General features: G+C 34.7%; 1 protein-coding gene and 1 long non-coding RNA gene across 16 annotated transcripts in view; one reads left to right on the top strand and one right to left on the bottom strand.

The window, feature by feature from the left end:
* Positions 1 to 24,380, bottom strand: part of SYT1 (synaptotagmin 1) — a 588,027-nt gene that overhangs the window by 507,380 nt on the left and 56,267 nt on the right. For 3 of the 14 annotated variants that reach the window (XM_047429479.1, XM_047429484.1, XM_047429480.1), the window contains exon 1: positions 5,312 to 24,380. This exon is cut by the window's right edge and continues 25,882 nt beyond it. The exons of 8 other annotated variants lie outside the window; for them this stretch is intronic. The gene's annotated coding sequence lies outside the window, so the exon portion shown is untranslated. The remainder of the gene's footprint in view (positions 1 to 5,311) is intronic. 3 more of the 14 variants (XM_047429481.1, XM_047429482.1, XM_047429483.1) reach the window with 3 other exon arrangements.
* LOC105369863 (uncharacterized) overlaps positions 1 to 24,380 on the top strand; it is a 197,856-nt gene that overhangs the window by 158,251 nt on the left and 15,225 nt on the right. For both annotated transcript variants that reach the window (XR_007063385.1, XR_007063384.1), the window contains one exon: positions 685 to 755. This is a non-coding gene — a long non-coding RNA (uncharacterized LOC105369863). The remainder of the gene's footprint in view (positions 1 to 684; positions 756 to 24,380) is intronic.

Below are 24,380 nucleotides of genomic sequence, written 5' to 3'. Positions count from 1 at the left end.
GTTGTGATCACAATATTCTTTTACTTTATTTATTGAAGTAAATAAAGTAACCTGTCTTTTGAATAATTCTCTAAGGGAGTTTTTAATAACTGCATTTCCCCCCAGGAGTTTTTTTTTGTATTTGCATTCTGAACTCCCAAGATAAAATGAAGTCCACTTACAAATATTAGATGGTACACAAATAAAATTAATGTCCTGAGGCTGAGTTAGAAGCTTTTTCCACTTTTTAAATAGAAACTAAGTTGTTTGTAGTAACTTACTTATAAGAAATATTTTCATCTTTTACTAAGCCTTTATCTCCAGGAAAAAAGATAAATAAAATTAATATCTCTAATCGCTAACATTATCACCACTGCTGTACTACACATGGCAAGAAGGGGGATTGGCATGGTACTTGCCAATTTACCATTATTTAACTGTTTAAAAAGAAAAACCTTCCTCTAAGTATATGTTTCAGCTACACTGAACATTAAGCATCTTTTAGCGTATATTCCTTCCCAGAGATTTTTAAAATTCTGAAATCTTTATAAGAATAAACTAATTTTAAATATTATTTATCAATATATACAACCAAAAGGTATAAGTTTCTGAAAGATATAAATTGCAATGTTTATGAGATATCATCATTCAAAGAAACACATATAATTATGCAAAATTAGTGATAATATGCAACTAATTCAACAGGAAGAAGTTGTAACTTCTGACTTAGTATGAGGTTCAAGCCAGATGGATCATGTGATGCAGTCTTGTCAATGGTGAGTAACAATGCCAATTTTATGTCATTTTATCAGGGAAATATTGTCAAGGTACAAGAACCATATGATGAATTGTAGTTGAGAAGTTTTGCAAAGTATTTTCAAAGCAATCATGGCATTGTAACATGGTATGACTTGTCACTATTACTTAAAAATCTGTTTTGCCAAATCTGACATGCCATGCTTTTTCTACTAGTTTTAGTATTCGACATAGGCTAAAGCTGTGGCCTGTGAGATGGGTGATATAGTTTGAATATATGTCCCTGCCAAATCTCATGTTGAATTATAATCCCCAGTGTTAAAGAGGGGGCCTGGTGGGAGATGACTAGATCATGGGGGCAGATTTCTTATGAATGGTTTAGCACCATGTCCTTGGTATTGTCCTCAAGCTAGTGAATGAGTTCATAAGAAATCTATTTGTTTAGAAGCTTGTGGCACCTCCCTTGCCCCTCACCTCTTGCTCCTGCTCTGACCATGTGAGGTGCCTGCTCCCCTTTTGTAATCTGCCATGATTGTAAGCTTCCTGAGGCCTCCCCAGAAGCTGTGCAGATGCCAAGACCATGCTTCTTATAAAGCCTGCGGGCCCATGAACCTATTAAATTCTTTTCTTTATAAATTACCCACTATCAGGTTCTTCTTTATAGCAATGCAAGAACAGCCTAACACAATGAGACTCCATGAGAAATTCCAACCACAGATGGGATAAAAGAAGTAATAGATGACCGAAGAACTAGCCACTTGAATGGATTAGAAACCCCTTATAAATTATTGTGCTCTATACAAAAGAATGTAGTAAATATCTTCTTCTTAGTCAATGAATACTCATTGAATATTTACTATTATTAGACTACTATACAGAGAGTGATGTGGAAAATATAAACATAGGAAAGCCCTGGTCAGTTTTACTGATGATTTCATAGAACACATACAGAACTCAAAGCACTGTAACCAGTTATCTTTGCATGGTCTCACTTGGGTGACATGACTTTGAGAGTTCCGCTCATGGCTGCAGGGTCAACCAACTTGTCGGGACCCCAGAGCTGAATGGCTTTCCTTTCTGTCGACCCTCGGCTCAGCCTGGAAGTACAGGAAAAGTGGAAGCTGGTTCCAGGCAATATATTTTACAACTGTTGTTCATACGGATGGCGAGATAAGTCAGAAGAACTAATTAGAACCAGAGACTGAACTAATACCCTATTTTACTAATACAGTAAGCTGGTACTACCTTCCAAGTAGTTAAGGAGACTTAGATAAATATATAGGTAACCACAGAGCAAGAAAGTAAATGCTTTCAGACAGTGGGACACAATTCTGCAGAAGTTCAGAGAAGGACATGGACGCTTTGACATGGAAAGGTCATGGAATGCCTGGAAATTTGGGCTTTAAAGGGGATGATTATTTGGGGTTGTTGGGGAGGAAGAGAATTGGAAAGATGGAGAGAGGCCATGAGAAAGATTTGGAGTCTGAAAAGTTAGGCATATTTGGAGAATCGTTGGATTAGTTATAATTATGTGCAAGTAATTAAAAAATGTCTAGAGACAAAGGTTAAGAACCAATCTTGAAGGTCATTGAATGCCTGGATAAGAAGATTGAACATGTGATCATGGGAAGCAGTCATTGTCTGCAGTAATGTGTTGTTTTGGAGGATTCAATGAATAATTTTAAAGGACATAAAGAGTTAAAGGACATAAAGCTTGAATGGAGAGAGAGATTTTAATAAGGAATCAAATGAAGGTTAATTCTTTTCTTTGGACCTCAGGTTTGACGATGTTTGCTGAATGGAATGTCAGTAGAGGAGGTTGGCATATTGAAGGGTTCTCCACAAAGACAATGAAGTTGTACAAAAGAGGCCAAAAGGAAAATAGTAAGCCAGATGCCAGTGTCCTCAATGATTAGAAGACAGTGCTGGGATGTGTGTGCAGAGGAAAGGTTTTACATAAGAGGAAAGTGATGGTCCTTGAATGGCAATGGAAACTGAGGAGAATGTCATCCCTATTTTCAGCCCTTCCCTCTCTTTTCACCCCCAACTGGTGTAATGAAATGAATAGCCTCACTTGGGATGCCTTGTGTTTTTGGCAGGTGAACTGACCAGGTGTCTATTAGCTCAAGGAGGAAGAAGAAGCATTTATAAAGAAATGTAAGATGTGGATCAGAGAATATAGAAAAGTATGGTGGAGACTGTTGGTTGTAGAAATAACAATCAATGGGAAACATTTCCTGTAATAGTGTAATAGCAGTCTTTCATTTTGACCAGTAGTCAAGAATGACAAGATTCAGTGAAATAGGATGCAATTCCATATAGCTGCCTAATGTTACTATTGATTAAAAGCTCTCTTCTATTTTTGCAAAGCATGCAGTAGATGTAAAATATAAAATTTTCCTAAGACTTTCTCTAACAATGAAAATGATCCATCTTTTTCTTCTAAAGTATTACATAATGTGTGTGTGTGTGTGTGTGTGTGTGTGTGTGTGTGTGTGTAGATTCTATTAAGAAATGTTCTAGGCTGGGTGCGGTGACTCACGCCTGTAATCCCAGCACTTTGGGAGGCTGAGGCAGGCGGATCACGAGGTCAGGAGATCGAGACCATCCTGGCTAACACAGTGAAACCCCATCTCTACTAAAAATATAAAAACTTAGCCAGGCGTGGTGGCAGGCGCCTGTAATCCCAGCTACTGGGGAGGCTGAGGCAGAAGAATGGCGTGAACTGGGGAGGCAGAGCTTGCAGTGAGAGGAGATGGCGCCACTGTGCCACTGCACTCCACCTGGGCGACAGAGCGAGACTCCATCTCAAAAAAAAAAAAAAAAAAGAAAAAAAAAGAAAAAAAAAGTAAAGAAAAGAAAAAGAAAAAAAGAAATGCTCTAAAGGACATGTATCTCACTGCAGTTATTCTCACAGAGCACACAATTAAATATTCAACTTCGCCAATTCAATTCAGTAATGCAGACACACATACGTTTTCAATGTTGACCTTTCTGAAACAGAAAGTATTGTTGTACTAGTCCACTAATCTAACTCGACACCTTACCTTAGGCATGTTGAATTCTACTGATTTACAAAATGCTTTGATAACCATGCCCCTTTTCTTTAGGAAGAAAATGTATCTAAAAATAAAACTAAACTCCAAGGAGTCATCCAGAAATTTATGTTGCAAAGTAATTTTGTCACATTAAATTTTACTTAAAGTGACTAGGTGCAGTGTTTCATGCTGGTAACCCCAGCACTTTGGGAGGCTGAGGCAGGAGGATGCTTGAGGCCAAGAGTTCAAGACCAGCCTGAGCAACATAGCCCCATCTCTACAAAAAATTAAAAAAAAAATCAGCTGTGCATGGTGGCAGTCTCCTGTTGTCCCAGCTACTCAGGAGGCTGAGGCAGGAGGATCACTTGAGCTCAGGAGTTTGAGGCTGCAGCAAGCCATGATTGGGCCACTGCACTGTAGACTGGGCAATAGGCAAGTCACTGTCTCTTTAAAATTACTTAAAGAAATGAGTTAATGGAGCTTGGATATATTTGTTTCACTCTGTTCTGATGTTTGAGCTCATAACAAAAAGGAGCATTAAGAATGGTATAAAGAGAAATATAATGTTGGAATAGGGAATTGAAATCAGGAGACTCAATACATCTCATTCTTGTCCTCATCTTCCATGAGAACAGAATAATAAAGAGAATTAATTTCAACCAGATTTAGAAAAAAAAAATCATCAACCAGCATTTTTTGAGTAGTGACTAAGTAAAGAGTATTCTGTTAGGCTCCAGGGACTAGCATTTAAGCACATTTCATTTAAGTAGAGAGATGGCAAATGCTGCTTTATATGGTCATCTATATTTTTACTATAGAGTTATGTATATATCCTAAAGTCTTATTAAATAAAGGAATCAAAAAGAAAATAACCAATAAGAATTGAGATTGGTAAGCTTCATGGAGGATGTAGCACCCAATCTAAACTTTTAAGATAAGACAGGATACACTAAAAATGAGAAGACAAGCTAGCAGATAGGGCATTGTCAGAAACCCTAATTTCTCTATAAATGTAGTGTGAAAGATGAATATTATTTTGGCCATCATTGCCTTCCATTGCTGATCTGAGACTGTAGAAGATAGTTTCATGATGCCAATGTCATGCTTATAAAAACCATAATCTCTTTTTGAACACTGGTTACCAAGCCACATTTGCAATATTCTTGGTAAGTGCAGAAAGTGAATCTAGAGTCCCAGTTTCTCTCATACAACTCAAGTATCTGTGTGGAAGTTAGTTTAAACTAGATCTAGTTTCTCCTGGAGACAAGGGACTGGATTAGGTATCTGGAGATCCTTCTAGTTCTGTAATTATTTTGTATTGATTTTAATTATCCACAAAGCATGAAACTGCTGAGAGCTCTGATTCCAAAGCCATGACCTAAATGTTCTAGAGTCCTACCCTTTCTCCTGTTAATTCAGTTCCCTTGTCTTTAAGGGACAATTAATGCTGCAGATAAAGCTTCAGATAGCATTTGTCTTTTAATAGCGAAAACAATAAACTTAAATCCTAACAGTAAGACAGAAGTTTTGAAGCTTACTTTGCAAGTTCAAAAGGTGACTTTGATCCCAGGAGTCTAGAAAAACAAGAATATGAAAACTCGATTCTCTTTAATAACTCATAGTCCACATTTGCATTTAAATGAAATATCCTTTGAAATGCTTTCTTTTACATTAAACTATTCAACAGTTCATTTTATGAGCTAGGTTTATTTTATTTTTTTTAAAAACTACCTGATTAAAAGTTTTAATCTGCAGTAGGAACTTGGGCAATACCACAGATCTTAAGGCTCTTCAGATGCACACAGTACCCCTCTGTCATGTTATTTGGTGGCTGCATGACAGATGCTTCCCTGAAGAGGCAGATGTTTATACATAAGACACTCATTCCATAAATCTTTAGATGAACAAAGAATAGCATTAGTTGAAATACTATCCAACTTTAGTGATTCTTAAGCAGAGTGTCTCTGATTTCTGTCAATTTCTAATCTGCTAATCGGTTTTGTCCTCATTAGGGTCTATAAAAGCAGACTGTGTGTGAGCTACACAAAGACGGCAGCTGTTCCTTTAGTGTTACTGTACAGAGTTATACTTCCTGGATAGCCTACATTTATCCTCTGGTCCAATCTGTCAACTTATTTCAAAATTATTTTTTAATTTGTGTTATGAGTAAATCATGAATGATGAGTCACAGGACTTTATAACATTTGCTTTATTGATGAGTTATTCGTTTCTGTAATTTAGTATGCTTGGCATGCTTACTTGTGCATGTGTGTGAGTTTGTGTGTCCATTTTAGGACCTTTTTACTTGCACCTGTGCAAATAGATGGAGGGTCATTATCTCAGATGATATGTCCATAGAAGCCAAAGGATAAAACAGGCAATATAATAGCAGTGAAACACTCCTGAAGTAAATCTGCTCAACCGCTGCTAATTCATACTTTATGACAAGGTTTCCTTATCAGTAGAGCCACATTTCTCAATTTCTATTCCACTACTAGCTTTATCCTATTAAACTCAGAGGAAAGGGTGAGTTGTCAGACATGGCTTACTGAATACTGGCATGATCTGGACTTACTCGCTGATGGCTGTTTGCAGGTAGATGTTCTTTCTGTGTCCTATTTTCCTGGAGAAAAGCTGTGTTAAAAGAGAAAGAAATAGAAGGAAAAGGGTGGAAAGGGAGAGGAGGGACCCTGAGAATTCAGGTGCTATGGGAATGGTGGATGAAAACAAAGAAAAAAGAGAAATGCAAAGATAAAATTATTTTTAGCCCTAGTTGTAATTATTTTAAATATAGTACAAAGACTCCCAGTTTCCAGTCTTTACATCGACTTTTAACTGTCTCACCTTCACATGCCTTTGTATGGTAAGCATTGCATTAGCAGTATAAAATTAGGATCTCAGCAATACCAGTCACATCTGCTCGTCCCCAAGTAACTGGAAAATCATACCTAATTACCCTAAGCAGCATCCCAAAAGCAGATATTAGAGAGCTCTGGCTTTCAGAGAAATAAAAATTATCCAGTTAGCTTTTCTTACTGACATTTTTATGAGCAAATTTATTCTGAATTATTTTCAGCATTATAGCACACTATAGAATTTTCCAGAAATTGTGGCTTTTTGTTGAGAAGATTCTGAAGGAAAAAAGTAATTTGTAATTATTACAGTCTTCTTACTAAAATGACACATAAACACCGTTTCTCTTTTAACTTCAGTTGGAAGGTAAGAAGCAGCTAATAGAAGAATATGGCTATTCTATTTAAGTAGTTGCTTATCTTGACTTACATTTGAATTTATTTATCTTTGTAATATAACAACCTCTCTTTTTTATTCCCCATCATGTTTACGGTCTAAAAAAAGTACTAAAAATATTATTAATAATTGTGTTTCAATGATAATCCTCTTCTATGCAATCTCACTGATTTAAGATACATTTTCATTGTTTGTTACCAGAATAAATATTTAATTTCTACTCAACTTATAGAATTTAAAGGCCACAAAGTCTTCTCAAGAAATAAATAGTGGATAGCAGAGTAAAGGAGAGTACCCAAAGCATCATCCCTACTGTTCCTCCTATCTCCAAGAGTCCAAATGAGTCATACCCAGAAGGCCCACAATCACAGGACCTCGAAAAAAAAGTTAAATTACAGGCTAATATATTGGCCAAGGTGGACTAAACATTCCCCTCAGCTTGACTAAATTTTAGACAGGCTGCTTCCTGATTCTAGGCCCTTGATCTCTTTTTTCTTAGAGCATTTGCTTTAGAAAACTTGTAATTGCAAAATATTTCCTCCTTTGAAATGTAAATCTTTAAAAAAGCTTCTTGTCAGTTTTATAACCAGAAATGTCTTTCTCAAGGACCTGGGAGCCATCCTTTTGAAATGTCATCATTAAGGAAGATAGAGCTCCTATTCCCCTGTCTTTTGGAGGGTAGAAGCCTAAGTTTCAGGGGTACCTTGCTCCAAGTTGCAAAGCCATCCCTTGCCTGGAAGATATGAGAAAGTTTTCCTTTCCATTTGGTAAAGACAATTAACAAACACCTATGGCTTAACATTCCCCCACCACTGCTTTTAAGAACATTTCTGCCTTTTATTTCAGTGGAGTTGAGCTCAGACTGAATTCTGGCCTTCCTTTCCTACTGCAATAGTCTTGAATAAAGTGTCCCTTGCTTGTTCATGCAAAATTGCCAAACTCGGTTAAAGTCAGAAAAATATAGTCTACATATACTAAGAAATAAAGAATATGCATTTTTTAATTAGTGAACATAAAAGTAGGTTTTTAAAGGAAAAATTGTAATTAATCTTACCTCCTAATTATCTATAAATACCCAATTTAAAGAATAAAGAAAATAAACAGGCATACCTACAAGGCCAATCTACAAGAATTATACTAAAAGCCGCTTAAAAGACGTAACACATATGTAATGATTTAAGAAACAGTAAATAAGCAAGGTTTAACTTTTCAATTATATAGTAGGAAGCACACAAGTCATAATTTGAATTCTAATTCCTTAGGGTTTAAAGAATCCTAGTGTTCAAGTTACCAGGAAACTTAGAGATAATACTGATTAAACCACCATATGTTACAAATGAGGAAACAATGAATACTATGTCCTTATCTAAGCAAACATTCCCAAATATATGATATTTTCATCGGTTAACCTTTCCTACACTGAAATTGTTCCTTTAAAGTGTAATTCTTTGTAGACAAAGATTAAAATTTCTATGTAACTCTAAAAGAAGTGACATAAATACAGTGGATCTCAATAATTGATTTTATTATAATAAAATAATTTTCTCCAAGCTTTTAAAAATCTTATATCCAAAGGCTTGCCTTGGCTATAAGATTACTGTATCTCTCCTTTGTTTTATCAAAGAAAATGAACTCTTTGTACTTGGAAATACTTTATGAGGCTAACATAATTCTGGTTTCCAGATTATATGATCAAGCTGTGCTTACTCTGCCCTAAGATATAGCTTAGGTGGCTACAGATAAGTATACTCCTTTTCAAATGACTTTACAACAAATTTTTTAGTTTTTATATATGTTTGTAGCTCTTAAATACTTAGTAACCTAGGAATAATTTCTTTTTTGTTTTAATTTTTATATACTTCTTTTAACTGCTATCTAAGAGCCTTTCATTGGCAAATGGAAAATTAAAATCAGAATATAAAAGCATGTTTGTCTTAGAAAGGATTAACATGAACGGTTTTATTTTATTTTATTTATTTTATTTTTTCTTAGTTCTCAGCATAAAGCAAGGGTAACTAATCCCACAGTTTTCTTTACCCAAGCTGAACCTATAATTTGGAAAATTATTCATATCCATTCTTGTATATTCACATTCCTTTTTGGAGGGTCTTACTTCTGTTCTGTTCTATAACTTAGTATATAGCCTTTCTTCTGATGAATTGTTATTTTTACCAAAGCAGTAAAATGTCGTTTGCTGAAAACATGAACCATGCCTATATTGTAGCCACAGGGCCTAGCATACTGCCTGATTCACAGCAGGAGCTCAAAATTTATTAATTGAATAAATGATTAATTGAAACAACGAGACCCAGAACTAACCTCTCAGAACCTTCACAGCAGAGTGTCTGCTTTGAAGTTAAGAGCAACCTTCATGGAAAATGCAATCAGTGCTACCGAGGGGACGGGATGTCTCTGCAGCCATCTCCAGACACCTACTTGCTTCCTATGGTTGCCCACCTGTCCAAAGACAGATTCAAAATTCTCTAGGTCAAGGATGTACCATCCTCACAGTTTAAATCTTTTAAATTATAAAATTTCAATTTTAGTCTTTTCCATGTTTTTGCATTTCATTCATTGGAAATGAATTCAGCCAATTATAGACTCGGGCGAGGCATGATTTCCGTGGAGCACGAGACGAGATCTGGGCTTTGGTTATTTTATACCTCAGTTACCAACATGTAATACCTTTTCTCTAAGGGCAGAAAGCACGATCTGCTTGAATTCCTAAATTCAAGATTTCATCTACCCGCAGAGAATGTGGAGGCCGTGCAGCCATCACCATGCTTCTAATACTTTCTAAAGACAAAAATTATATGCCACATTCTTTAGAGAGAGCCTTGACTTATTTGTGTAGTAAATTTCAGTGTATCTTTTCAAAAAAATGTTCAGATTTTATTTCAATATAAATATTTTGCTCCAGATTTTCCACTTCAACTTCTTTCTTTTTCTATATTCCACATAGAAAATTAATCTAGTTTTTGACTGCGTGACAGGTGTTTTCAATTCCGGACATGATGTAAGACAAGTGTTTTTTCTGTTGTTGTTATTTCGTTTTATTTGTTTGTTTTTTGAGACAGAGTCTTGCTCTATTATCCAGGCTAAAGTGCAATGGCACAATCATGGCTCACTGCAGCCTCAACCCCACAGGCTCAGGTGATCCTCCCATCTCAGCTTCCTGGGTAGCTGAGACTACAGATGTGCACCACCACACCTGGCTAATTGTTTTGTTTTGTTTGTTTGTTTGTTTTTGTAGAGATAGGTTTTTGCCCTGTTGCCCAGGCTGGTCTTGAACTCCTTGACTCAAGTGATTCACCCTGTGATTCAATTATCTCCACCTGGCCCTGTCCTTGACACATGACGGTTATTCAAGGTGAGATTTGGATGGGGACACAGCCAGACCATATCAACAGGTATGGTGTGTGTGTGTGTGTGTATGTGTGTGTGTGTACACACGCACATACACACACACACATATATACACACACATATGTATATACACACATATATATATGTAAAAACAGTGTATATAGGGTTTACTACTATCTGTGGTTCAGGCATCCATTGGGGGTCTTGGAACATATCCCCCTGAATAAAGGGAATAACTGTATTGACCAAAAAGACATATAAACTGCATCCCTTAAATACAGAACATTATACTCAATTTCTCCTACTGAGATTCCTATGTTTCTGGAAATAACCAAACAGACAAACACACAAAGCAGGCATGTTCCCTTAAATTTTAATGTTATCGGATTCTACCCCATCTCAATCTCTCTTTCACTTTTCTCTCACTCTTTATTTCTCTCTTGATGAGGTAAAACAAGGATTTATTAAAAAAATTGGCCTGTAGAATTTATGCTAATATCTGTGATGGAAGTTTATGATGAATTATCAAAAATTATTAAACTAATGCTAAAACAGTATCCAAGGTGATCTGAAACATAAAGTTGAGTGCACCTGACATATATCTCTATCTTTTAAATGAGATGGTTATTAATAAACTGTACTAGCAAAATACTAATTTTTTAAATGGTCTTGAACTTGACAAGTAGAGTGAAAAGAAATGGGACCTTGAGAAACAGGACCTTAAGAAATAGAACATTACATTTAAGCCAAAATCAAATTATTTTTACTACTAAATTCAAGAATATAGAAGCCATAACAATGATTTTCCTGGGTTACTCTTATATTGATAATATATGCTAAAATGTTTATTTAGTAAGTTCTAGCTCCTTTTTTGACCTCTTCACTTTCCCACCGCAAACTTTTGTCTTCCTTCCTCTGGTAAGAGTTTCTTAGAGGCTCTATAACTCAGCCAAATTCATTTTAGACAAGACAGGCTCACAGAAGTTGATACACTGAGGTCAAGATTGCCCTGGTATTAGTCACACAGATTCATCTAACCATATGCAGACCAACATGGTAGAAAGCAAGATGATAAAGAGAGATGAGGAAATATCTATGCCCTAGATATTTCTTCACAGGTGCACTCTTTCAAAGTCGAGAAGAGTAAGTTAAAAATATTACTCAACTTGACTGCTTAGAGGCTTTCTTCAAAATCAAACAAATATTTCCAAGGATACCAGGAGTGATGTCCAATAACCTTTATACTTTTGGACGTCTTAAGGTGATATAAATTTGCTTTTTTAGAACTTAGTTTTTTTGCATGAAAGTAAGACGTTCTGAGATTTTGTGTTTGAGACAAGATATAAGAATTTATGCGCCTATAATTGAAATGATGAAACAAAATGAATAATTATTTTAATACAAGAACTGACTTAGTAGAATGGACTCCCTCTTATCCAAGTGAATAAAATATTTGCATAATACTATATAAGCTTTGATTTTTATTGGTACAAATTGACAAGAGTTAAATGAGTTCTCGAAGAGTTTGCATATTGTTCCCTGAAGGCAATTGAAAATAAAATTACAAGGAGAGTCAGATAAAAAATAAATGATGGCAAAAAATTTAAATAGAATATGATTTCCATGTGATGTTAATATTTACACAAATTTTAAACATTTCAGATAGAAAACCTAAGGTGGAATTTGGTTTTTCAATAAAATTCAAATCAAAATATTTAAAACTGACAGCTCATTGCAATAGTATCCTTTCAAAATTTGTATTTTCATATGACATTAGATAATTTTGAAGGCACAAATAACTATCCAAGTGTTTTAGAACAAATATAACTGGCACTGAATATAATCCTATGAAACCAGTAAAAGATAGTGACATATTTCCCACTTATATGCATGAGGAAACTGAGGCACAGAAAGCATTAAGGCAGCAGGCTTATGTCTCCCTCATCACCACTATCAGGTTATTCTATAAGCTACAATTGGTTTCTCATTACAGAAGTATTTATGGTTAAATGAATTAATTAAACAAAACCAAACCAAAAACCTAAATTTTGATATTCAGATTATATTCTAAAGATGTTACAGATTCAGGGGAAGAATGAAATTTATTCTCTCACAATTGCATCAATAAGGGAAGACTTTATAAGCCAAACTGTCACGAAGAATAAAAAGGAAACACACCTTGTGGCAGAGGAAAGTGGCTGTCCAAACAGACTGCACTGATACACCAGCCATGCACAGACTCAGATGTGCTCATCTTTAGGATAGTCATGTCAAAGTTTAAAGATTCTTGTAGAAAGTGGCTCTTGTACTAACTATTCATATATAGATGGGAGAAGTGGGTGCAGAGAACAGACTCTGCTTTTACCAACACTCCTTCCTCTCCTGACTGCTCAGCTCTCTACCTCATTAGATTAGAGAAGCCATCTGCATGACAGGCACACTTTGTACCCAAAGGGCTTCTCTCTTCTCCAGAGGCAGCATCAAATAAATTGGCTCATCTCTATTGAAAGACAGTACTTGCCAGCAAGGGACACAGAACAATAGCAGCTGGTAGGAGAGCTCCAGAAAGTCTGTTAGAAGTCTCAAAACAAAATTGTTAAAATAACTCCTGAGAGAAAAATAAATAAATCTACATCATGCCTACACACTTGTTCACTCAGTTCTAAGTAACCAATTTCAGTTCTCAAGATGCGAATTGAAGTCCTGCATTCTATGGGCAGATGGAAGCTCTCTGAATATTTACCTAACTCTTTCTCTTTCTTTCTTTCTTTCTTTTTCTTTCTTTCTCTCTCTCTATTTCTTTCTTTTCCTTCCTTCCTTCCTTCCTTCCTTCCTCTCTCCTCCCTTCCTTCCTTCCTTCCTTCCTTCCTTCCTTCCTTCCTTCCTTCCTTCCTTCCTTCCTTCCCTCCCTCCCTCCCTCCCTCCCTCCCTCTCCTTCCTTCCTTCCTTCCTTCCTTCCTTCCTTCCTTCCTTCCTTCCTTCCTTCCTTCCTTCCTTCCTTCTTTCTTTCTTTCTTTCTTTCTTTCTTTCTTTCTTTCTTTCTTTCTTTCTTTCTTTCTTTTTCTTTCTTTCTTTCTTTCCACAGACTTTCACTCTTGCTGCCCAGACTGGAGTGCAGTGGTGCGATCTCAGCTCACTGCATCCTCCGCCTCCTGGGTTCAAGTGATTCTCCTGCCTCAGCCTCCCAAGTAGCTGGGATTTCACGCGTGAGCCACAGCGCCTGACTTGAATATCTAACTTCTTAAATCATCGATGCACAATGCCTGGAGAATTTTCCAACAACTACAACAATATTTACCATTTATTCAGTCTTAGGTATAGCAACACATTATTTCCTCCTGACAGCCTTATGGAATAGCTATTATTTTTAACCTCATTTAACAGATGAGGAAAATGAGACTTAAGGAAGAAAAGCAATTGGCACAAGATTACAAATCTGTATATTACTCTAAAGCTTAGCTTATACCTGTTGCTCACGTAACCTGAAGCCATGAAGAGCTGCATTACATTCAGTAGATCAAATTTTGCTTGCAACACTTGGTTATGTTTAAGTTTTCACCACTTCCCAACCTCCCAATGGAGGAGGTTGGGAAGTGGTGAAAATCTTTAAAAATATTTTAATCCTGTCATTATCAATCTACAAAAGTGATTGAGGCTTCGATCATCCTTTCCAAATTGAATGACCATTCTTGGGCTTCACAGCTTGGTGCTATTTCTAAAAATCTCTGAGTCATTAACTCCATCTATTTTTTTTTCCCAACTTTTGACTTTTTGTTTTCTTTGTTACTTTTTCTTCAATTCCCTTTCTCCTTACTTTCAGCACTGAATAGCTATTTTACTTTGATTGAAAATGTATTACAGTATATTTGCATTGTATTTTCCTTCCCTTTCTGCCTTCAATTTTCAACATGAGCTTTCTTTTTCTATTGGTTTATTTTTAAATGACAATTAATAATTGTGTGTATTTATAGGGTACAATGTGATGTTTTCATCCATCTATACATTGCAGAAAGTTTTAACCAGTCTAATTAATGTATTCATCACCTCAGCAACTGATTTTTTGTGGTGAAGACATTAAAATCTATTATAAGCAATTTTGAAATATATAGTACATTATTATTATCTGTAGTCACTATGCAGTGCAATAGATTACTAAAACTTATTCCTCCAGTTTAACTGAAATTTTATCCCTGGATCAACAGCTCCTCTTTCTCCATAACTCTTCCTCCCCTCTGTCCTCTTAGATCTCACTTATTAGTGTAATCTAAAAAAGCCCACTTCACAGAAACATGAGCTTTCTTTATTGAATTTTGTTCTCATCATTTTACAAATGGTCCTACTCACTACCACCCTTCCCCCCACCACATTCTTTCTCAATTATAAGTATCTGTAAGTCAGTATAAAATCATACATACAAAACCAGAAGACGTATCTTGCTATTTGCAGCTTACATTTCTCACATGTTGCTTGCAGAACAATCTTTTAGGTTGGTAATTATTATCATATTTTACAGGTAAGAATACTGAGGCTCAGAAGGAATAAATTAAGTCTAGTAAGTCATATGATTAGATGGCTGCTACATTTTCTGACTGTAAACTCCACAACTTTCCATTACATCATTTGGCTTTTTAAAATAAAATTTGTCTTTTGAAAATCTCTATCTTTTCCTACTCAGACAGGTAATAACTGCTAACTGTAAATCATTCAAACACTACATAAATTGTGAAGTTAGAAAGTAAAATTATTGAGTAAAGATTCTTCCTACCTTTATAAAACTAATTGCTGCTAATAACCTTTTTTTTTTTTTTTTTTTTTTTTTTTTTTTTTTTTTGGGACGGAGTCTCTCTCTGTCACCCAGGCTGATGAGCTGGAGTACACTGGCGCAATCTCCACTCATTGAAACCTCTGCCTCCCGGGTTCAAGCAATTCTCCTGCCTCAGCCTCATGAGTAGCTGGGACTACAGGCATGTGCTGCCACGTCCAGCTAATTTTTGTATTTCTAGTAGAGGCGGAGTTTCACCACGTTGGCTAGACTGGTCTTGAACTCCTGCCCTCAGGTGATCTGCCCGTCTCAGCCTCCCAAAGTGTTGAGATTACAGGAGTGAGTCACCATGCCTGGCTGCTAATAACTTTTTATATATTTATCCAAATTTCCTGATTATTATTATTTAAGACATAAAATAAAACTATATGTAATTTTCTACCATCTTTTTTTTAGTTAACAATCTTAAGTTTCATCTGTAAGAAGATTCGCACAGTTCAAACCTGTGTTGTTTATACAGATATAGCTATGCTGTATATCTTATGTAAATTATTCCCAATGGAATATGATTCAGACATATATACAGCATTCCCCTCTTGTTCAAGGTTTGGTTTTCATGGCTTTAGTTACCGTGCAGTTTGAAAATATTAAATAAAAAATTTTGGAAATAAACAGCTCATAAGTTTTCAGTTGCACATCATTCTGAGTAGCTGATGAAATCTCATGCCATCCTGCTCCTACAGGCCCAGGATGTGAATTATTTCTTTGTCCAGTGTATCCAAGCTGTCCACGCTATTTGCTCATGAGTCACTTAGTATCCGTCTCTGTGATGGATTGACTGTCTGTGATATCACAGTGCATGTGTTCAAGGAACCCTTAATTGACTTCAGAATAACCCCAAAGCACAATAGTAATGTTGGTGAGAATTTGGATATGCCAAACAGAAGCTGGGAAGTGCTTCCTTTAAGGGAAAAAGTGAAAGTTCTCCACTTAAGGAAAGAAAAAAAAAGTATGCTGAGGTTGAGGTTGCTAATGTCTATGGTAAGAATGAGTCTTCTATTCATGAAATCGGGAAGAAGGAAAACAAATTATGCAAGCTTTGCTGTCATACTTCACTATAAAAGTTATGGCTAGAGTGTATGATAAGGGCTTAGTTAAGGTGGAATAAGTATTAAATTTGTAGGTGGAAGATGAACAGGAAGATTGACAGCAATTGGGTTCAGTACTATCTGCAGTTCCAGGCATCACTAGGGGGTCTTCTAATATATCCCTGGAGAATAATGGGGGACTACTGTACTTTAAAATGAAGTGTCAAATGCTTCTATGATAGTTACTAACGAAGTCAGCCAAGAAGGAAAAATACTCAAAACTTTTATTGTTACAAATTATGTCTTTCTAAGTTATCTCTCTCCCTATCCTATAATAGCAGCATATTTCTTACATTGCATGAATTACTATTATTTATTTCAAGTTCAAGTGTATACTTTCAAATCCCAGCAGAAGAACACGGGGAGAAATACCGAAAAACACAGTGTGGAGGTATCCATAGCTTTTTGAGTGAAAGCATAGGGAAAATTAGTAGAATGAAGTAACATAAATGCAAATAGAAGCATCATTTTGAAAGGGTATTTAGTATTATGCTATAGACGGTTAGCTAGGAGAAAGCAATGAGTTCTTTATTCCTAATGATAATTTCAAAACCAGAAGAGAGAAAGGCAAGCAACTGTAGCAACGGAAGCCTTAAATTATCCTGATATCTACTGGAAATCTTATTGCAATAAACATGGAAAAGCTAATATATTTTTTCCTTGCCATGCTAACAATTTCATCTAAAGAAGGAAAATAAAGTCATTAGGATAATTTCCTCTTCATTTAGACCAACAAGCGGGGCGGGTGAATATCAGTTAAAAACAAACTCAAGACACTTATGTAATTTCAGAAAGGGTCATGAAATTTAAGCTTGATTCCATGGTCAGAGATTACAGAATGGGACATATCTCATAACGCACGGAAGACACAAAATTTTTTAAATGACGCACACTAATCTTACAGTAAAATTTACAGTTCAATTGTTTAGAAAGTTGAAACAAAATTTTCATAGAAATAATCTTACCCAAAGATTGGGTGTTCAAAAGAGCCCAAGGAAATCTGGGGTTCAATGTGTGGTTGGATTTCATGCACATCCTGGTGATGATGTTTGGCAGTTTCACTTCCCCCTCCAGCATCAAGGACAGAGATGGGCATAAAAAAGTTGTATGAGAAATCAGGAAAGAAGGAGATCTTAAAGAGGAGTGGTGATGTGGGGAAATGAGGGACTTTGGAAGCCCTAGCCACAGCATGGAGAGGACTTGGGTCCTGAGGAGCTACAACTTGGAAACGTTGTTGAATCTACCTCATTTGGAAGATGAGACCTCAGAAATGTGAAAGAAGGGTACTAACCAATCAGTAAGCATCTGTGTATTACTTTAAGAAAATTCTGGGTAAAACTGGATATCTATTAATATCTCTGGATATATGATTAAGTATCTATTAAGATACTTATGTTACAGAATTAAAATTTCCCTTCAATTCAAAATATAAAGTGTACCAAAGGTGCATTAAAATTAACATTTAAATGTATGCAACTTGTAACTTACCTCTAAGTTCACCCTGCTATTAAGATATGGACAAAGAAAGTTTCTATATACTATAAAGAATATAGGGAGTATATCTAAAAGTAAACATCTCTTAGAAAGATTGTCATGCTGGTGATACTTACATGGATTTTACAATTTGATCTTGATATGTCATCTCTATTTGCTTCCCAAAAATGTTTAAGATTCATAGTTGTATTGTCATTTAAGAGTTTTCTAAGTATACTTTTTTTTTGGTTTATTCCATTCCTGTTATGTGATAAAAATAAAATGTTTTAAAATTTCTTATGATACTCAATAACTTTTATACATGATCAAAAAAGAAGTAAAAAGATGCTTTAGTAAGGATATATGATTCACAAAATAGGAAAATAATTCAAATTTTATCCAGAAATTTTATTGCAAACATTTAGCCAAGAGAAGAAATCTGTTCTCTGACATATTTACTGAATATCACTAGTAAAATATACGTATTAGAATCACTAGTTAAGTATGCACAGAAGACTTCATGAGAAAAATGCAGCAATGTCAGACATTTCCAGAATCAAAGCTTTCTCTTTAAAGAAATACATTAAAATAAAATAGATTCTAATGATGTAGTGCTTGCTTTATTTGTTTCCCTTGCAGAGCATGACTTAATCTAGAAACCTTATCTTCCAGAATTAGTTAAGCATGTAATCTGCTCATTTCTTCAGACATGCCTCAGGACTCTTTGTTTCTCTGCAATCTAACAATTATAACATTTATGCAGAATTACAGCTATTTTCTTCACATTTAAGGCACCACTAAATGAGTTCTGACCCTGATATGTTTTCTATATTACTCCTGCAATAACACTGTGCTTATGCCACATGCAGCATTCATGTTCTACTTTTTAAGGAATGAAATAAGCCATTATTTCTTAGCTAGGAAATCAAACACAATAGTTTGTTTCGTGATTAATTGTGAGAAAGATTGCAAATAATATTTTGCTAGTAAGAGTTAAAATACCAAAATTTTAGAAGAGTTTTGTTCACATATGTGCATTCTTATTTGGTTTCATACATTGAGAAAAAGGTATGAAGTACTTAGTGAGTGTGTAATTGAACATAGAAAAAGCGCGATTATTAGATGAATAGCTATATTAGATTTTTTGAGACCTAAATATGTGCCAGGTAATGCAAAATCTAAACATTTATAATATTATTTACTCTTCAAAACTGCTCTATGAAGAAAGGGAGGATGGACTTACACCTTCTTGAGTATAATATTTTATGGTTCTGACTTTTGGGAATTTTTAATGTTTCACATACATACTTTAAAAAGAATAGAAAACTAACAAGCATGGGAGGAAAAAACTCCTAGAACTAAAAACCTAAAACAAAAACATGAACAGAGTCATATTTCAAATGAATAACATGGCCACACAGCTTAGGGGGAACCTCAGTTAACTTTTGAACTATATGAACCTTGACTATTAGAACTATGTACTCTGAGTCTGAAGACAACTCTGAACAAATATTCAATTCTAGTGAGTAGCTTTTGCTCAGATTCCTAGATTAACAGTTTGGAAACTAGTTTCTATATATTCTAAGGTGAGCAAAGAAATAAAATAAATTGTGGCCAATGGTAACTAAGTTTTGCTAAATTAGAGAAGGGAATTACAAATATGGAAAAGGGAGAAGATAGAATGAACTCCAAGGTGTTGATTTTGGAGGCGTCAGTTTGAATTTAAGAGTTTTAAGATGGATAGCTAGATACATAGATAGGCATAAAAATAGAAATAGATATGTAGTGACACATATACTCATAAACATGTATAAATATATATGCCTTTATATGTATTTATTCATATAGATAATTATACATTCATGAATATTTCAAGTCCTACTTCCAGGCTATCTGCTGAGAAGGCCTAGAAGCAATGACACCCAGTAGCAACAAGAAGAAGACCTAGCCCATGATCTAGGCTTCTAAATACTTTTCACTCAAAGGAATAAAGGAATTTTAGGAAAATTACTGATTCCAGGGCTAGTGAGGGAAAGTAGAAAATCATTATGAAACCTCATCTTGTGCCAGAAATTAGGGATGTATTCAAAGAATTATGGAGACACATCAAAAGGACGTAGAAGCTAGCTTGAAGGAGCTCCCTTAACTCAAATCCAGGACAATTTGAGCATCAAAGATATAAAGAAATATATACAAATATATATATTTATATATATAAAGAATATATATACATATATATGTATATTCACATGTATTATATGTAATGACATAAAGGATGACAACCCATTGAATAATATATGTCTACCAGGATATAAATAAATAATTAGGTGGAAAAAAGCTGTTTTTCAGGTGGAAACTCGACTAATAAATGTAAAGAAAATATGGAACTAGAAAATCTCTATTTAGCAATCATCATAAGAATTCACATAAGAATCATGAATAAGTGCAAAAAGAAGTGTGTAAAAATTCGAGGCAGCAACAGGATATTTAGTTATTCTCAATGTAACTTTCCCCAATATATTTTTCATTACAGAGGGAAAAAGTAATAACTACATTGAAATTATTGGCAGACATTGCCTATACTAGCAAACACCATTCTGATAGACAGCACCTTAACCCGATAATAAAGTGATTGAAGTTAACATCACCATAATGGGGCAGTGAATACCATGGGCCTTCTGATATGATGCATTGCAAAAGACACATCATCACTTCTGTGGTATTGCCACCAAAAGTGCATAGAATAAATTTCATCATGAGGAAACATTTGACAAACTTAAATTGAGAGACTATTTACAAAATAACTGGCTTATATTATTTAGAAAATGTCTATGTCATGAAACGCAAATTAAGATTGAGGAATTGTTTCAGAATAAAGAAGTTTAAAGACATGAAAATGGAATGCAAGGCATAAGATGATATTTTCTTTAGCTATAAAAGACATTATTGGGAAACCTATGAAATCTGAATTAAGTCTGTAGATTAGATAATAGTATTAAGACTAGTGAATGTTAATTTCCTGATGAGAGATCATGCCTTTATTTTTAGAAAATATGCACCTAAAAGAAAAGGAGTAAGCCAGCAACTTACTCTCTCACATTGTTCATGAAAACAATAAAGTGTACACACACACATATACACACACACAGAGAGAGAGAGAGAGAGAAAGAAAGGGGGGGTGGAGAGAGAGTTCAGAAACCTTTGGAGATTCTCAGTGAAGTTCATGCAGTTATTCTTTGTACAATTCTTGTCTCTATTCTGAACGTCTGAAATCTGAAATTATGTCAAAATAAATTTTTTTTAAATAGTTCTATAATGTAGTTCAATAATCATCCCAATTTAAGGGTAAGTCAGCTCTAAACTCAGAGTAACATACTAAGCTCCACAGCCAAGATGTAAACTTGTCTCTTCAGCATCTAAACTTTTAGTCACTACTTTCTCTGTCTTGTCAGCCTACAGCTATGGGAGAGTGTCTCACATATAAATAGGAGCTGTAACACATGCCAATAAAGAAAACACTGAAGAGCTTTGATATAGAACTTAAACTGCATTGCCCAATAAGTGCTGGCATGTGCAACAGCCATGTGTGCTTATTTAAATTAAAATTATCAAAATAATAAAGTTGGATCCTCAGTCACACTAGCCACATACCAAGTGCTCAAAAGGCAAATGTGGCTACTAACCACCATATTGGACAGCATAAATATAGAATATTTCTTTCACATCTGAAATTTGTATAGAAATTGGACTCTGCTGGTTTGGATGATATACTGTAATGCAATTAAAAGGGGTGCTCCTTACATTCAACCACAATCGTGTGCAAGAAGCAGAGGAGATTTTCACATTCCACTTCACATGGAAAGGGTACTCTGTACTGGTTATGGGAATGGGCTCTGGAGATTACCTGGGTTCTCGTCCTGACTATACAACTTACTAGTTTTGAGTTGCTGGGCAAGTAACCACATTTTTTATTTAGGTTTCTCATCTGTTTAATGGGAACAGTAATAGTACTTCATGGGGTTGTGTGAGAACTAAATGAATGAAATAAAGTACTGAAAAGAACACTCCTTTATAATTCAAAGAGAACATTCTGAGGCATACCAGGGATACAGTTAACAATTTCCTTAAAGATAAAGTTAAATATACAGCATGTGTCCATCTGGTCCCTATGTAGAAAGATAATTAAAAACCAGAGATGTGGTTGAACTTGATGCCTTTTAAGGTCTCTTTCAACAGAGGCTCTATGATTTCATAATATTAAGAGCATTGCCATTCTGCCCTGGAAGTGACTTTAAAACAATTAGCATTTATAATTTGCAAGGATCATTTACATATATTTCCTTAATACAGTCTGAGAATTTTTTTAATTTTCCAAATAAATAAATTTACTTTATAATATGTTTTCTTAAGAAATTATATATTTAAAATTTAATATAATAAACAACATTTTATATGATAAATTATTAGCCCAAAGTTGAATAATCAACAACTGGCAAAGCCTAGGGTTGAAGCGAGGTCTTGCAACTCCAAGTCCTTTATGCCTCTTGACTCTATTAGTTACACATTCATTGTATATTTATTGAGCACATAGTATGTACTGGATATGGTAGTATACACTGTGAAAATAGTGTTAAATATGGAGAACAGTCTCCTGTGCTTAGTGTAAGAGATATTCCAGTTCAAGTTCTTCAAACTGTTCAAAGAATCTCAGAGTTCATAAAACCTTATTTTATTTGGAATTGCATGGAGAAAAGTCAAGTAAACCCTAGGATAATTTTTATGAAGTAATATTTAGATGTAACTTTTTGATGCAAGATAAAATATTTTGAAATTTTTCCTGTGATGATCAAAAGTTTTTTTTTTTATTCTTTAAAGGTATTTGATTTAAGCATATAATTTATTACCTTCTCTTAGACCTAAATTTGCTCTTCTACTGGTTTCATCCAGCACAAAAGTATGCAAAAATATTCCTCTTTTTGCTTATTTACAAAATCACCTCATCCTCATCATCTTTTGTCTCTCTCACCCGTGTCTCTGCAGCATTTTGTCATTAAAGACATAGCAGAAATACCAGACAAAACTAGTAAATAACATTGTAATTATCTCAGCAGCGCCATGTGAACATATCTATATATGCATATAAATTGCTTCCAAACAGAGTTCACTGTTAAATATGACTGTGTCAAGGCAGCATACCAATGGGAAGAAGCCTGGTGGGGCATGTCTTCATTACCTAGCACTTTTTGCCTGTTCTATCCACCCTGAGCATTAGAATCAAGACCTGAGCTGTGTAATAACATTATTGAAATGTTCCAGTTTTAGGAATTGTAGCATATACAACCAGACTTTCTTGTACAGAAAAAAAATCTGGTTTAAGGATTTGAAGGGTTATGTTTAAGAATATTAAAGTCTCTCCTTAAATATTTTGTTTGATTTAAAAATAATAACTAGCATCTACTGACTGCTTTCTGCCAGAGACTCTAAGTGTATATATAGTTGTTACAACAAACTTGAGTATCGGTTTCACCAACAGCTCCCAATTCATGGATTAGATGAAGCAATAGATAACCTGTTATAGTCGTAAAGTGAGGAAGAAGTAATTTAAAATCCGTTGTATTTGACCAAAATTTCTACTCTAAAGTATTCCCCTATGCTAACTTCTGTTCATTATAGAATATTAAAAAAATTAAAGTGGTAAAAACATGAGATAGAGAACTTATAATCACACTATACAACTGTACTAAAATTTTTGGTGTATTTTCTTTTAATTTTAGTTATTTGGTGGTCATGGTGGTCCTAAGTATCTTCAAAGTTGTAATACTAAATAAAAATCAATGCCTCACCTTCAAAAAACTGATGATGCAGAGAAGAAAATAGATAATCTATCAATCGTGTAGAAATGAAAACTATGGACTCAAGTCTGACTGCTGAGGACTGGATCTTAGTATTAATACCTTATTTGTCAGCTGCATGGCCTTGAACAAACCTGCTAATCTGTCTAATCTTTGATTTGCAAATCACTAAAAGTTCATCATTATCATCATTATTAGCAGCATCATATAATACAAACTTGAATCAGATAATAAAGGTTAAAGCAAAGTTTAGTGGAAACATGAAGGGAAAGAAAGGGGATTAATTTCAACTGAATAGATCATAGAAGGTTTTGAATTGCCGGTTGAGACTTACTTTATATACCCCAAGGTAATAGCAATATTTAAAGAGCTATTTCTATTCTCAATGTGGTTATGTAAGCATTTTAATAAAAAATGCTTATTTAGAGAACTTGGTTATAAAAGTTTATAAAAATGCATGCACCTAAGTGGGTAAAAGAAGAAATTAAAACATGTGAATTAAAAACTAAATTGCTTCTTGAATTTTTACTAGACCAACTTCAATGTGTTAAAGCCATTCCAATAACCCATACTGTGCATTCATAGATGATGGCATCATCTGTTTGTCTATGATGCATATTTTGTCTTTTCATTTTCATTTGTTGAATGCGATCTATTAGCTCATAAGACAACCCAGTCACAGGTATTATATCTATAACTTTATTTCTTATCTTGTAAAACATCTTATGAAAGAAAAAAGCATATCCTATCAAATGTT

The sequence above is a fragment of the Homo sapiens genome, chromosome 12 (genome assembly GCF_000001405.40).
Source record: "Homo sapiens chromosome 12, GRCh38.p14 Primary Assembly".
In the NCBI taxonomy this organism is placed as follows: domain Eukaryota; kingdom Metazoa; phylum Chordata; class Mammalia; order Primates; family Hominidae; genus Homo; species Homo sapiens.
This window is presented reverse-complemented; position numbering and strand designations above follow the sequence as displayed.